This window comes from Homo sapiens, chromosome 19, assembly GCF_000001405.40.
Source record: "Homo sapiens chromosome 19, GRCh38.p14 Primary Assembly".
Taxonomy (NCBI): domain Eukaryota; kingdom Metazoa; phylum Chordata; class Mammalia; order Primates; family Hominidae; genus Homo; species Homo sapiens.
This window is the reverse complement of record NC_000019.10, coordinates 36,983,937-37,000,359: the sequence shown is the minus strand read 5'-3', so window position 1 is coordinate 37,000,359 and position 16,423 is coordinate 36,983,937. Positions and strand designations below refer to the sequence as shown.

The window sequence follows — 16,423 nt, the reverse complement described above, 5'->3', positions numbered from 1 at the left end:
CCACCTCGGCTTCCCAAAGTGCTAGGATTACAGGCGTAAGCCACCGCGCCCAGCCGAGACGGAGTCTCACTCTGTCGCCTAGGATGGAGTGCAGTGGTGCGATCTTGGCTCACTACAACCTCCCACTCCGGGTTCAAGCTGTTCTCCTGCCTCAGCCTCCTGACTACTGGGACTACAGGCGTGAGCCACCACGCCCAGCTAAGTTTTGTATTTTTAGTAAAGACGGGGTTTCACCATGTTGGCAAGGATGGTTTTGATCTCCTGACCTCATGATCCACCCGCCTTGGCCTCCCAAAGTGTTGGGAATACAGGCGTGAGCCACCTCACCAGGCCGATATCCTTTTTAATATAAAAATTATTTATACAGGTAGCTTTAAAATTTTCTAGTGGAGAAATACATTTTGGCTAGGGCTGTATTATTTTTTTAATTCTGCAACCTCCGCCTCTTGGGTTCAAGTGATTCTCCTGCCTCAGCCTCCCAAGTAGCTGGGACTACAGATGCACGCCATCGTGCCTGGCTTATTTTTTGTATTTTTAGTAGAGATGGGGTTTCGCCACATTGGCCAGGCTGGTCTCGAACTCCTGGCCTCAAGTGATCTGCCCGCCTCGGCCTCCTAAATTCCTGGGATTACAGGCTTGAGCTACTGTGCCCAGCCTTTTGAAAAGTTTTGATAAATATCTAAATCTTCCGCCTGACTTCACAGCAACCCACTTTTATTCTACTGGGTTTCTTCACATTATTTGCCTAGTAAGGCAAAAGGGTGAGCTATAAATAAAGGCTTCACAGTATTAAATTTTTCTCCAGAAGGAATTACCTAACCTTCAATAAAGAAAAAGAGATGATGCAATATGTTCCTATAGTCACTGCAAATATAAGTCCTTCCTCTCATGTCTAATAATGCATGATTAAGAAAATAACAAAGAAAAACAATAAACGCCTTCATTTAGCACACTTTCAATACTAGACAGACACTGCTTTAAATAATATAAATGTATTTAACCCCCACAATGCAGCTAAGAAATATGGTGCTAACAGTACTATTTTATAAATGAGAAAATGTAGATGTAGTTAATAAATTCACCCTAAAAGAAATGAGTAATAATGATAAGGGTGAGTAAAAACTAAACATTGGTTAAATTCTTCCCCACATTGATTCAGCTCCAGTTAATTTTAGAGAATTAGCTCGTGAATATTTAACAAGATTTATGTGGGATGAAAGAATCTGCTGCATTTTAAATACTACTCTAGCCTTCCTCAAGTATTGTCAGATGAATACTTTGTTAGCTAAAGCAAATTGGTGTCCCATATATATGGCATTTACATTTTCTTTCTTTTTTTTTTTTTTTTGGAGATGGAGTTTCACTCTTGTTGCCCAAGCTGGAGTGCAATGGCACGATCTCAGCTCACTGCAACCTCCGCCTCCCGGGTTCAAGAGATTCTCATGCCTCAGCCTCCCAAGTTGCTGGTATTACAGCTGTGCGCCACCATGCCTGGCTAATTCTGTATTTTTAGTAGAGACAGGGTTTCACCATGTTGGTCAAGCTGGTCTCAAACTCCTGGCCTCAAGTGATCCACCCGCCTCAGCTTCCCAAAGTGCTGTGATTACAGGCGTGAGGCACCGTGCCCGGCCCCGTTTTTTTGTGTTTTTTTTTTGTTTTTTTTTTTTGAGACAAGAGTCTCGCTCTGTCACCCAGGCTGCTGTGCAATGGCATGATCTTGGCTCACTGCAACCTCTGTCTCCTGGGCTTAAGCAATTCTCCTACCTCAGCCTCCCAAGTAGCTGGGATTACAGGCATGCACCACCACACCTGGCTAATTTTTTAAATATTTTTTGTAGAGACAGTGTTTCACCATGTTGCCCATGTTGGTCTCAAACTCCAGGACTCAAGCAATCCACTCACCTCGGCCTCCCAAAGTTCTGGGATTACAGGTGTGAGCCACTGCGCCCAGCGTGTGTGTGTGTGTGTGTGTGTGTGTATAATAATAATTTTTTTTTTTTTTGAGATGGAGTCTTGCTCTGTCGCCAGGCTGGAATGCAGTGGGTCAGTCTTAGCTCACTGCAACCTCTGCCTCCCAGGTTCAAGTGATTCCCCTGCCTCAGCCTCCCAAGTAGCTGGGATTACACACGCGCACCACCATGCCCAGCTAATTTTTTGCATTTTAATACAGACGGGGTTTCACCATGTTGGCCAGGATGGTCTCTATCTCCTGACCTTGTGATCCACCCACCTCAGCCTCCCAAAGTTCTGGGATTACAGGCGGGAGCCACCGGGCCCGGCCTGCATTTATATTTTGAATCATCTGATTTCCCCTAAGGGCTAATGACTCTGCTGCTGATAAAGGTCTGAATGATTAACTCCTCTCAGCATATTCACTGCCCTCCTCTCCCCCATTTGAATTCCCTGAGGTTGACTTCGTTCTGAGCCACCAAAAAGGCCTCCCTACTTTCTTTACATTCATGGAGGTCTTCAATTTTTCACCAGTTGTATCATGATGTGTAATAAATTCTGAAACATAAATAAATCCCTGCTAATTCCTAACATTTATAAGGTGTCTCACACTTAGAATCATAAGTTTTTTTTTCCAAATCAGTATGAACTTTCTCATGTCAATCAAATTCTGAGCCATCCCTCATTTCTTCATTCACTCCTCTGTCCTGAATGAATTCTTTGATGTTGACTAAGGTGTGAGGCCCGAATGAAGGCCTTTCCACACTGCTGACATTCATATGGTTTCTCACCAGTATGAATTTTCTGGTGTCAACTAAGTTCTGAGCCACCACCAAAGGGCTTCCCACACTCCTTACACTCGTAGGGTTTCTCACCAGTGTGACTTCTCTCATGATGTGTGAGTTCTGACCTTCGAATGAAAGCCTTCCCACATTCCTTACACTTATGGGGTCTCTCCCCAGTGTGAACTTTTTGATGTCGAACAAGTTCTGTGCTACAAGTAAAGGCCTTTTCACATTCCTTACACTCATAGGGTTTTTCACCAGTATGAGCTCTCTGATGTCGGGTAAGTTCTGAGCCACGACGAAAGGACTTCCCACATTCCTTACACTTACAGGGTTTCTCCCCAGTATGGACACTCTGATGTCGAATAAGATGTGAATCAGAGATAAAGGCTTTCCCACATTCCTTACATTCATGGGGTTTCTCACCAGTATGAATTCTTTGATGTAGACTCAGCTGTGAGGCACAACTGTACACCTTTCCACACTCCCTGCATTCATAGCGTCTTTCACCAGTATGGATTATCTGATGAAGGCTCAGCTGTGTGTCATAACGAAAAGCCTTTCCACATTCCTTACATTTATGGGGTTTCTCACCCGTATGGATTCTTTGATGTCGAAAAAGGTGTGAGGGACGGGTAAAGGCCTTCCCACACGCCTTACTTTCATAGTATTTCTCATCAGTATGGATCCTCTGATGTAGATTAAGCTGTGCAGTGGATGGAAAGGCTTTCCCACACTCCCTACACTTATAGGGTTTCTCACCAAGATGCATCCTCTGATGCTGACTAATTTGTGAGCTGGAACGAAAGGCTTTCCCACATTCCTTACATTTATGAGGTTTCTCTCCAGTATTAATGCTCTGAGGTTGAGTAATTCCAGAATCATGATTAAAGGCACATTTGTTATTTTCACTATGTTTTTTGCTTTCATGAAGCGTCTGATGCTTAATCAAGTCTGATCCACTATTAAAGATTTTCCTACATTCTCCACATTCAGGTTCTTTTTCCTTATTATGAATTATTTCATGTTGAATAGGACATGACTGGTACCTAAAAGCATTCTTACATTTCCTGCATTCACAGGATTTCTCTCCAGTATGAAGCCACTGATATTCTCTATGGGCTGTGCACTGCATGGAAGTAAATGGTATTACAGCTGGTCTGAAATGTCCCTCCTGATGACCCTGTTGTCTCTCCACCTGGCATCTGATTTCTCTGATAACTCTGGCCTTCTCCTGTTGTGGTGATCTAATTTCATAAATGTTTTCCTTTGGAGATAAATTCTTGGTTTCTCTTCCAAACTCCCAATCTGCAAAATAATAAGAAAGAAAATAGGAGGTATTTTCACATTGCAGGACAAAGAAAAGTCCTGAAAGTAGAAATGACAAAATAAAAATAGTTAATAAGCAATTCTTTACACTGCAATTACAAAAAAAAAGGGAAGTGAAAAATGAGAAAACGAGGAGCTTTTGGGCTCAAGCGATCTGCCCACCTTAGCCTCCCAAAGTGTTGGGATTACAGGTGTGAGCCGCTGCACCCAGCCACATCTCTGATACATTTAAAGACCCTTGTGATTACACTGGGCCCACTTGGATAACCTAAGATCCTCTCCCTAATTGAAGTTGAGCAGATTTGCAACCTGAATTCCCCCTTACCATGTAAGAGTAACACGTTCACAAGTTTCAGAGATTCGGATATAGACATCTTTGAGGGGGTTATTATCCTGCCAATATTGGCTTATAATGTATAAATATGTAATTTGTATGACAATAATAGTACAAAGAAGAGAGGTGGGAACAGAAGTATTTTGGAGCAAAGTATTTATGTAAGATTAAAGTTAAGCTAGTATTAATCCAAACTAGATTGTTTTAAGTTGAAATGCTAATTATAATCTTGAAGGCGACCACTAAGAAAATAATTTCAAAGACTACTGTATACGAAACAATATAGGAACAAAAATGGTACTCTAGAAAATATTCATGTAATATAACAGAAGGTAGTAATGGAAGAATAGAGGAATAAAACAATAACAACACAAATAGAAAACAAATACCACAATACCAATTGTAAATCCTACCCCATCAGTGTATTAAATGTAAACATATTAAACACTACAGAGTTTGTTAAGCACTACAAGAAGAGGTTGGCAGGATGGATTAAAAAAAAGTGATCCAAGTATATGCAATCTACCAGAGACACACTGTTTTTTGCTTGTTTGTTTGTTTTTGAGACACAGTCTCACTCTGGCACCCAGGCTGGAGTGCAATGACGTGATCTCAGCTCATTGCAACCTCCACTCACTGGGTTCAAGTGATTCTCATGCCTCAGCCTCCTGAGTAGCTGTGACTACAGGCACGGGCCACCATGCTTGGCTAATTTTTTGTATTTTTAATAGATACAGGGTTTCGCCATGTTGGCCAGACTGGTCTCAAACACCTGACCTCAATTGATCTGCCCACCTCGGCCTTCCAAAGTGCTGGGATTACAAGTGTAAGTCACCATGCCCAGCCCCCGAGACAAACTTTAGATTCAAGGACACAAATAGTTGAAATGAAAGAATGGAAAAAGATATACCATGCAAAGAGTAACCAAAAATGAGGTAAAATAGCATTACTAATACCAGACAAAATAAACTTTAAGACAAAAATTGTAACCAGTGAGAAAAAAGGATATTTTGGCCGGGCGCGGTGGGTCACGCTTGTAATCCCAGAACTTTGGGAGGCTGAGGCCGGCAGATCTCGAGGTCAGGAGTTCAAGACCAGCCTGGCCAACACAGTGAAACAAAAATTAGCTGGGTGTGGTGGCGGGCACCTGTAATCCTAGCTACTCGGGAGGCTGAGGCAGGAGAATCACATCAACCTGGGAGGTGGAGGTTGCAGTGAGCAGAGATTGTGCTACTGCACTCCAGCCTGGGCAACAACACTAGACTCCATCTCAGAAAAAAACAACAACAACACACAAATCAGAAAAAAGGATATTTTATAATGATAAGAGAATATAATGATAGTCAGAAAACTGTAACAGTTGTAAGTACATATACACCTAATAACACAGGCCCAAAATATGTAACACAAGAATTAAAGAGAGCCACAAACAATTGAACAAATTGAAGACTTCAATACTTTACTTTCAATAATGGATAGAATAGCTAGGCAGAAGATCAACAAGGAAACAGATTGCTTGAAAAACACTATAAACCAATTAAACCTAAGAAAACATTTGTAGAACATTCCACTCAACAACAGGAGAATACACATTTTTCTCAAGCATGTATGGAACATTTTTCAGGTTAGACCATATATTAAGCCATAAAACAGCCCTCAATAAATGTAAGAGGATTGAAATCACACAAAATATGTTTTGCAACTACAATGGAATGAACTTAGATATCAACAGCAGAAGGAAATCTGGGAAATTCACAAACGTGAAAATTAAATAACATACTCCTAAATAACCAACGTGTTAAAGAAATCATGAAGAAAATTAAAAAATATTTTGAGATAAATGAAAAGTCAACATACCAAAACTTATGAAATGCAGCTAAAGCAGGGCTTAAAGGGAAATTTACAGCTAAAAACACCTATATTAAAAAAAAAAAGAAAAAAAAACAGAGATATCTCAAATCAACAATCTAACTGTATATCTTAAGGAACCAGATAATAAAGAATAAACAAAAACATAAAGCTTCCAGAAGGAGGGAAATAATAAAAGATCACAGCAGCAATGAACAAAATAGAGAATAGAAAAACAACAGAGAAAATCAATGAGACCAAAAGTTGGTCTTTGGAAAAGATCAACAGAATTGGCAAATCTTTGGCTAGATTGACCAACAAAAAAAGAGAGAAGTCTCAAAATACTAACATCAGGAATGAAATAGGAGATATCACCACTGACCTTATAGAAATAAAAAGGGTTATAAGGAACTCCTACGAATAACTATATGCCAATAAGTTAGATAACTTAGACAAAATGGACAAATTCCTAAAAAGACCCAAAACTACCAAAATTGACTCAAGAGGAAATAGAATACCTGAATAGACCTATACCAAATAAAGAGACTGAATTAGAGCAAAAAAATCTTCCCATAAAGAAAAGCCGAGGAGCAAATGGCCTCACTTACCCAACATTAAAGAAAACTTAATATAAATCCTCCATGAACACTTCAAAAAGACAGAAGACGAAGAAACATTTTCTAATTCTGAGGCCTGTATTACCCTGATACCAACCAGACAAAGCAAAGATATCACAAGAAAACTACAGACCAGTATCTTCAACAAAAAAGACCAAACCAGATCCAACAGCATAAAGGATTATATACCACATCCAGGTAAAATTTATCCTACAAATGCAAGGTAGGTTCAACATCCAAAAGTTATCAATGTAATCAAACATATTCATACAACAAAGGACATAAACTACAGATGTCTTAATAGATGCAGAAAAAGTAATGGTAAAAAGTATTCTAAAATCCTTTCATGACAAAAATACTCAACAAACGAAGAAAAGAAGGGAACCTATATACAAATGTTCATAGCAGCTTTAGTCATACAAAATAGCCTAAAAGTAGAAACAACCCAAATGTCTACCAACTGATGAATGAGCAGAATGGTAATATCTATACCATGGAATACTATTTGGCAATATAAAAGAATGAGGCACTGGTATATGTTACACTATGGATGAACTTTGAAAACATTCTGGTAAGTGAAAAAAGCCAGTCATAAATTATATGTTGTGTGATATCATTAATATAAAATGTCCAGAACAGGCACATCTATGTAGACAGAAAGTGATCAGTAGTTGCTTAGGGCTGGATTTGGGGAGTGACTGCTAATGGGTATGGCGTTTCATTTTGAGTGATACAAATGTTCTACAATTAGACTGTTGTGATGGTTGTGAACTGACTAAAAATTACTGAACTTTAAATGGATGAATTTTATGATATCTCAATAAAACTGTTTTAAAAAGTCAGGACAAAACTGGACCCAAAATGCAAGTAAAATGGTTGTCACAGGGAAAGAAAGAGGGTACTTCCTCTCTGAAATGAGGGGGGAGGTATTATAGGAGGTGAGCAAGAGAGCCTAGTAAATGGAGCTGAAACATGCTTTACTTTCTTTTTTTTTCAAGATGGAGTCTCGCTTTGTCACCCAGGCTGAAGTGCAGTGGCGCGATCTTGGCTCACTGCAACCTCTGCCTCCTGGGATCAAGCAATTCTCCTGCTTCAGCCTCCCAAGTAGCTGGGACTACAGGCACCTGCCACCATGCCCAGCTAATTTTTGTATTTTTAGTAGAGATGGGGTTTCACCATGTTGGCCAGGTTGGTCTTGAACTCCTGACCTCGTAATCCGCCTGCCTTGGCCTCCTTTTTTTTTTTTTTTTTTTTGAGACGGAGTCTTGCTCTGTTGCCCAGGCTGGAGTGTAGTGGTACAATCTTGGCTCACTGCAACCTCTGCCTCCCAGGTTCAAGTGATTCTCCTGCCTCAGCCTCCTGAGTAGGTGGGATTACAGGCACGCACCACCAGGCCTGGCTAATTTTTTTGTATTTTTAGTAGAGACGGGGTTTCACCATGTTGGTCAGGCTGGTCTCGAACTCCTGACCTTGTGATCTGCCCGCCTCAGCCTCCCAAACTGCTGGGATTACAACATCCTTACTTTCTTCCCCAGATCTCAAGCCTTTTTAGGCAGCTTTCCTACCAAAATCCCTGAAGTGCTGCCTTCTCACAGATGAGCTAAGTGACCACCTGCTATGGCCTCCCCATTCCAGTTCATCGTCACTCACCTGGACACCATTCTTTTGTCTCCTTCCTCTTAACCATCCAGGGCTCTTTCTTCTGCTCCAATAAGGAGATCACATTTGGCTTAGTATCAGAAAGCCCTGCTCAAAAACAAAGGGAACAAGGTTTTGTTGTGGGTGTCAGAATTAAAAATCAGTCCCTAATTACCAAGAAAGAGGAGCAGGTAGATTAAGGGTCAGAAGAAGGAGTGAGGGTCAGAGCACCACAATAAATCAACATTAATTCCTTTCTTGTCTAATTAGAAAAAAAGTTTGCAATATGTGATTCCACTTAACCATTCATTTCCACTTCATCAAATCACAGCTCCAAGAAGGGAGGTATGAAAATAATGAAGATAAAGGTGCCTGCTGGAACAGCCAATTTCCAACTTCACAAGAGACAAACCATTCTTTTGGTGAGCAAGAAACATTAACTCATCCAGGTACTTGAAAAGCACTTGGGACAAACTCAGAAAAAAGAACATAAGAATTCCAGAAGGCCAATTGTGTGTTTGGCGGGGCAGGGGGTGTACGGAGGGGCAGATAAAGTTACCCAGTAAGACCAGGTTGCCGTAATTTTCCAACATTACATCTCGGTACAAATCCTTCTGAGCAGAGTGCAAGCATTCCCACTCCTTTTGAGAGAAGTAAATGACCACATCTTTGAACTTCAAGCCCTGAAACCAAAAATAAATACACCATTTGTGAAATTCATGGACAAAATCTTTAAGACAACATAAAAGAAAATGGAGAAAGCAATTCAATAGGGAAGTTCCATTAGGAAAACAGGCCATACTGGCTCCTTCAACATGGAGGGGTCGGTGTGGAAACAGGGGTGATCAGAGTGAAGTGCCCACATGGTTCTTGGGCATGCTTACTCCTGCAAAGGTAGCCTCTGGGCACTTCCATTATCTACCCAGGTCAGAGAATAAACTAAGTCCATGTAAGTGGTGTTTCCCAATTAAATGAAACTGTACGTGCAAGTACACGGAACACCCTATGTTAAGCACACAAACTTCTCATTGCCTCTTCCTCTTTCCCATTCAATAAATTAAATCCTGAATCAGTTTTCTACATCACCAAAAATTCTTAAATAGACAGCAATTTTACTGGCTGCATGATTCCTCATATAATATATACAATGTTCTTGTTTTGAGGAAGTAGGTTGGAGAAGTTTTCTAAAGGTTCTTTTGCAGTTATAATAGTCATTCATTATTTTTCAACAATTTTTTGTTTTTGAGACAGAGTCTCACTTGGGTGCCCAGGCTGGAGTACAGTGGCACCATCTCCGCTCACTGCTACCTCTGTCTCCCAGGTTCAAGCGATTCTCCTGCCTCACCCTCCTGAGTAGCTGGGACCACAGGCATGGGCCACCACATCTGGCTAATTTTTGTATTTTTAGTACAGACAGAGTTTCCCCATGATGGCCAGGCTGGTCTTGAACTCCTGGCCTCAAGTGATCTACCCGCCTTGGCCTCCCAAAGTGCTGGGATTACAGGCATGAGCCACCGTGCCTGGTCATTTCTCAACAATTTATACATCTGGCTAAATTGTTCCTGTTACCACAAATGACCCCAACCATACTCTCCTTGTTCCTTAGCTACCAGAACTGATGGAGAAAGATCCAGACTCACAACGATGTCACACGAGGTGCGCACATACTACACAAGTTCAAAATGGACACACTTTATCCATCTGGCACAGACTCCTTGGGAATACACTGTAACTCCATACAATCTACATATCTCAGGATATCCCCAGTCCTAAAATCCTCAGACAGCTAGAGATACTGGCTGATACTGAGACTGCAACACAATAAATCAACATCAATTCCTTTCTTGTCTAATTAGAAAACTCAAGTTTGCAATATGTGATTCCACTTAACCATTCATTTCCACTTCATCAAATCACAGCTCCAAGAAGGGAGGTATGAAAGTTTCCAGCAAGGATTGGTTTTCCTACTCCATCAGTACTCTCGGTGGAAGAACATGCATCTAAAAAATGCTAATCCTGGTATAGTGGCTCACTCTTGTCATCCCAACACTTTGGGAGGCCAAGGTGGGAGGATTGCTTGAGCCCAGGAGTTCAAGACCAACACAGTGAGATCCCGTTTCTACAAAAAAATCCAAAATTAGCCGGACAAGGTGGCATGTACCTGCAGTCCCAGCTACTTGGGAGGCTGAGGCAGGAGGAGCTCTTTGAGCCCCAGAGGTTGAGGCTGAAGTGACCCATGATTGTGCCACTGCACTCCATCCTGGGTGACCAAGCAAGATGTTGTCTCAAAGAAACTTATAAATGCTAAGAGGTTTGCTGATAAATACCTAAACACTTCTTGGAGAACAGAGGGGCCCTTAAGAGACAGCAGCCTTGGCCAGGCATGGTGGCTCACACCTGTAAATCCCAGCACTTTGAGAGGCCGAGGTGGGTGGATCACCTGAGGTCAGGAGTTTGAGACCAGCCTGGTCAAGATGGTGAAACCCTGTCTCTACTAAAAATACAAAAATTAGCCGGGCATGGTGGCACGTGCCTGTAATCCCAGCTACTAGGGGGGCTAAGGCAGGAGGATCGCTTGAACCTGGGAGGCAGAGGTTGCAGTGAGCCAAGATCATGCCACTGTAGTCTAGCCTAGGCAACAGAGGGAGACTCTGTCTCAATCAATCAATCAATAAAAGAGATAGCAGTCTTTGATAGCATTACTGACTGGAATGGGAAGAACTGGGGAACAAGTCCCTGGGGAAGCCAAGAAGTTTTAGGAAAAAGAAATCTGTTCAATCTGTTCAAATCTTCTAAAGCAAAAAGAAGGCGTTCAGAAGCAGAGAGCAGAACAGTAGTTACCAGAGACGGGGTGGGGGTACAAAACGCGAGAGGTTGGTCAGTGGGTACAAAGTTACAATCAGGAGGAATACATTCTGGTGCTCTATTGCACAGTAGGGTGACTATGGTTTAACAATAAAATATTGTATATTACAAAATAGCTAGAAGAGAGGCTTTTGAATGTTCTTACCACAAAGAAATGATAAATGCATGAGGTGATAGATACACTAACTACCCTGACTGGCTCATTATACCACATAGATATGTACTGAAACATCAAATTGTACCCCATAAATATGACCCCAAAGTGCTAGGATTACAATGTGTCTGATATGGTTTGGATCTGTGTCCCCACTCAAGTCTCATGTGGATTTCTAATCCCTGATGTTGGAGGGAGGGCCTGGCGGGAGGTGACTGGAACACAGGGGTGAATACTTCATGAATGGCTTAGTACCACCCCCTTGTTGCTGTTCTCATGATAGTAAGTTCTGACGAGATCTGGCTGTTTAAAAGTGTCCCGCACCTTCCCTGCTTCCTTCTGCTCTGGCCAGGTGAAGTGCTGGCTTCTCCTTTGCCTTCTACCAGGATGGTAAGTTTCCTGAGCACCCCCAGAAGCGGAGCAGATGCCAGCATCATGCTTCCTGAACAGCCTGTGGAGCTGGAGCTGTGAGCCAATTAAACCTCTTTTCTTTATAAAATCCCCAGTCTCAGGTATTTCTTTATAGCATGCGAGAAGGGACTAATACATTGTTAATTAAAATAAAAAACAGAAAAGAAAGCATTCAGGCCAAGTGTGATGGCTCATGCCTGTGATCCTAGCACTTTGGGAGGTGGAGGTGGGAGGATCGCTTGGGTCCAGGAGTTTAAGACCAGCCTGGGCAACATAGCAGGACCCCATCTCTACAAAAATAAAAATAAAAAATTTAAAAATGAAAGAATGCATTCAATGAAGGAGAGGAGACATACTAACACATAGATAATAGCTTTTACAACTACAAAATTTATACCCTAGGTTTCTCCTAGAGAAAGCCTGAGAAAGCAAAAAAGGAAGAAAAAGCAAGTCATGGGGATTTGACTGATATTTTTGGATAAGAGAATTTTGTTGACAAAATTCATCAGACTGACCTCAAGGTCCCCAAAGGCCTGAGAATGAATCCCTTCACCCCATCCCTGCTTTTGGTACCCCAACACACACACACACACACACACACACACAGAGTCTGTGTTTTCTTTCTCTCTGAGATTTGAGAAAGAATGAACAAACCTTTGTCTTTCTTGAATCCCAGGGAATCCAACTATAGAATAACAGACTCAGAAGAAACAACTTCCCCACTGTCAGGAGCTGATCAGAGCCCAGGGCCTGGGCTCCCTTTTGTACAACCTGGATATCACTGAGACCCTCAGCCATGGAAGGCACCCCAAAGACTTGAAGGCACCCCAAAGACTTGAGGGAGCCCTCAAGGCCCAGGAGCACAGGATACCTGGGCAGGCCCAGCTCTGGACAAAGATTTCTACAACAGAGGGTTCCAGCCTCCCTCAAGCCTAATAGAGATAGAGGAATAAATTCTGGTGTTCTATGCACCAGCCACTTCCTGGGCTTTGTTCGTATATCCCAGAACTGGGGCCTTTGGAACTAAAACTAAAACCTCATTCTGCAAAGACTCTCCAGAATGACCAGCACTGAGCCAGACAACCCACAGGATCAGCAGGCTCTCAGCAGCCTCAGCAGGGCTCAATTACCCAGATACACAATGCATGAAACCACAGTTCCAGGAATCCTCACGGCCAGTACATCCTGGTTCCAAACCGAGATTACCCATGGCCTTCCTGCCTGACATTCTCTCCTGCTACTACCCCTAACCTTACTGCTGTACACTGCACACTGCACACTGCATCTCAAGGACAATCATTGTTCTTTAAGCACTTTAAGTTCCTGGTGCCTTACATATATTAATCCTCATGAGAAGGTCATGAATCCTAACTGAAAGGAAACTTTAGCTTGGAGAAGAGAAGTCATTTACTCAAATCTGCAGTTACAGTGGCAATGCTGGGTTCTGAATCTACTGAGAAATAACCAAGTCTGCAGCTGGTTGCCTTCTAACTTCTGGCTCTTGTAGATGCAACCTGGGAATTTCCTGATCCTTTGAAAGAACCCTCAGCTGGCCCCTGCACTTAGGGGAGCGGAAAATGCTAGGTCTGCTGTGTTTGTCACTGCAGATCACAGCAGTCTATGAAGGGAGATCAAAGGCGGAAGGGAATGGGAAGAGAGGAGCAGCTGTGTCAACAAAATTCTCTTATCCGAAAATACGAATCAAATCCCCATGACTCTGGCTCTACGTGGGCACCAGGGTCGCAGATAACTCTTACCTAGCATGCATTTCCTCTTAAAAAGCTCAGTCACGGAGGGGGGAAAAAAAGAAAATCAATCATAGGACACCAGGCTCTGTGGGGGACTAGTTACTACAACCAAATCACCAGCTGAAAAATAAGAGATTGAATATCAAAAATATTTTAGAATTCAAGGATGAGCTGACAGAGAAGTAAAGTAATCTTCAGCAGATAAAACTATGTCAAAATGGGAACAGAGAGGGGTAAGCTGAGCCACTGAGGCTTATTTTGCCCAGGGAATGTCTATGGAGCCCAGAAGACCATAAGCTTTGACATTCATGATATTAAGGAGCAGGTGGAGAGAAGATCAAGCCTATAGCTGGCCAAGTTGGGGGGTCTAATTAATTCCATACTACAAAGACCTGGGACCTCTAGAACCACGCCCTTAGAGTAAGGGAAAACCAGATGTGGCATTCCCATTCCTAGGGTCCGCTAGGAAAACTGCCTGACTGGAACCTTGGCAGATGGCAGAAGGGAAACATTTTCCTCTGAGGAACTGTAACTACAAGCCAGCCCTCACACAGGCCTGCAGTTCACATAACAATACTAAGGTGGATCTAAAAAACTTGCCATGTGTTTACTTTATGGTGGTCCTGGTTTGGCAGGGCTCCTGGTAGAAGCAAACACAGATCTGCCCTAGAGGAACAACCTTCAATCAGGCCTCAAGAATCTATGGGGTAGAATTCCAAGGAAAATAACCTATGAGTCAAAAATAAAGCAGCACCACACTGTGAATGAACTAAATGTCACTGAACTATGCACTTGAAAATGGTTAACTATATATTATGTGAATTTTGCCTAAACAAAAAATCAAATTTAAAAAAAAATGGCCAGGTGTAGAGGCTCATGCCTGTAATCCCAGAACTTTGGGAGGCCAAAGTGGGCGGATCACTTGAGGTCAGGGGTTCGAGACCAGCCTGGTCAATCTGGGGAAACCCCATCTCTACTTAAAATGCAAAAATTAGCCGGGCATGGTGGTGCGCACCTGTAGTCCCAGATACTTGGGAGAATGAGAAACAAGAATCGCTTGAACCTGGGAGGTGGAGGCTGCAGTGAGCCAAGATCGCATTACTGCACTCCAGCCTGGGTGACACAGTGAGACTGTGTCTTAAAAACAAAACAAAACAAAACAAAACAAACAAACAAACAAAAACATGCAAAGAGGCATAATTCCATGAACAAAGAGTCAGGAAAATCAGTCATGCAATTGTTTCAACTTTTCATTATGTTTTGAAAATTTCCCTAATAAAATGTTGAGGGGCAGGAGGAATCACCTCTGTAAAAGATTCATATATTATACAGATAATGCCAAAAATTATAAAACAAGCATATTACATGTTTTTAAAATGGAAGCAATGTAATAAGAAAACTTCACAAAGATGACAGTAGATTTCAAAAAAAGGAAAAGAAATAAAAATATAAAATAAAAAACATACTTAAATCATACAATGGCTGGAATAAATCTCTCTGAAGAGAAAAATTACTGGACTGCAAGGTATAAAAAGAGATTATGCAGAATGCAATTCAAAAAGACAAATGAGCAGATGTACAGAAGAGAGATTAAGAAGATAATGTGAGATGGCTTAATAGATATTTAACTGAAGTTCTAGAAGGAGAAAAGAGAAAGAATTAAGAAAATGGCAGTATTGGAAGACAGGACAGCTAAGAAATTTTCAGAATTGGCATTATTCAGATTCAGGAAGCCCAATAAGTCTTAAACAGAATAAATAAAAATAAATCCATGCCTAGACAATCACACCAAAACTGCAGAGCACTAAATACAAAGAGAATACGTGAAAAGCAATTTGAGATTAAAGATAGATTATCTACAGAAAAAAAAAAGTCTGATTGACAGATGACTATTTAATAACAAAAATGTAAACCAGAAGACAGCGGAATATCCCAGTGTGAGGGTAAAACACCTTTCACAAATGAGGGCAAATAAAGATGTTAAAAAAAAAACAAACACCAAAATCAGAGAGAAATTTACTATTTAATTCCATCTAAAGGAAAGTGATCCCAGATGGAGAGCTTGACATGTAAGAAAGAATGGTGAACCAAGAAAGTCGTAAATACATGGATAATCTAAGATAACACTCAATACATAAAATAAAAATTTCTTATGGGTTAAAAAAAGAAGAAAAATACCTGACAATAATGTAAGTTGTTTGATTAGTTAGAATATATCCTACTTCCTTATTTACCAAGAATATAATAATATTTTTTAGTTTTAGACACTAGTAAGTTAAGAAAGTATATTGAAATTTTCAAGGTAACCACTAAATAAACACAAATAGCTTATAACTTTCAAACTCATAGAAGGGAAAATGAAATGAAGATAATGAAATACAGAAAAGGTAGAATTAAAAGCACAAAAATGATACCTTCAATTATATTAGTAATTACAAGCACTGTAAATGACTAAATACTCTCGTTAAAGAACAAAGCTGGTCGCCAGGTGCGGTGGCTCATGCCTGTAATCCCAGCACTTTGGGAGGCCGAGGTGGGGGGATCATGAGGTCAGGAGATCGAGACCATCCTGGCTAACACGGTGAAACCCCCTCTCTACTAAAAATACAAAAAAATTGGCCAGGCGTGGCGGCATGCACCTGTAATCCCAGCTACTCGGGAGGCTGAGGCAGGAGAACTGCTTGAACCCAGGAAGTGGAGGTTGCAGTGAGCCGGGATCGCACCACTGCACTCCAGCCTGGGCG

General features: G+C 41.5%; 1 protein-coding gene across 3 annotated transcripts in view; it reads right to left on the bottom strand.

Moving 5' to 3' along the window:
- Positions 1-2,427: 2,427 nt before the first annotated feature.
- Positions 2,428-16,423, bottom strand: part of ZNF568 (zinc finger protein 568) — an 81,601-nt gene continuing 67,605 nt past the window's right edge. For all 3 annotated transcript variants that reach the window (NM_001204838.2, NM_001204839.2, XM_017026772.2), the window contains 3 exons: positions 9,061-9,184; positions 8,514-8,609; positions 2,428-4,043 (listed from right to left, as the gene is read on the bottom strand). In NM_001204838.2, the coding sequence (NP_001191767.1) occupies positions 2,761-4,043; positions 8,514-8,609; positions 9,061-9,184 (1,503 nt within the window). In that variant the 3' untranslated portion in view covers positions 2,428-2,760. The remainder of the gene's footprint in view (positions 4,044-8,513; positions 8,610-9,060; positions 9,185-16,423) is intronic.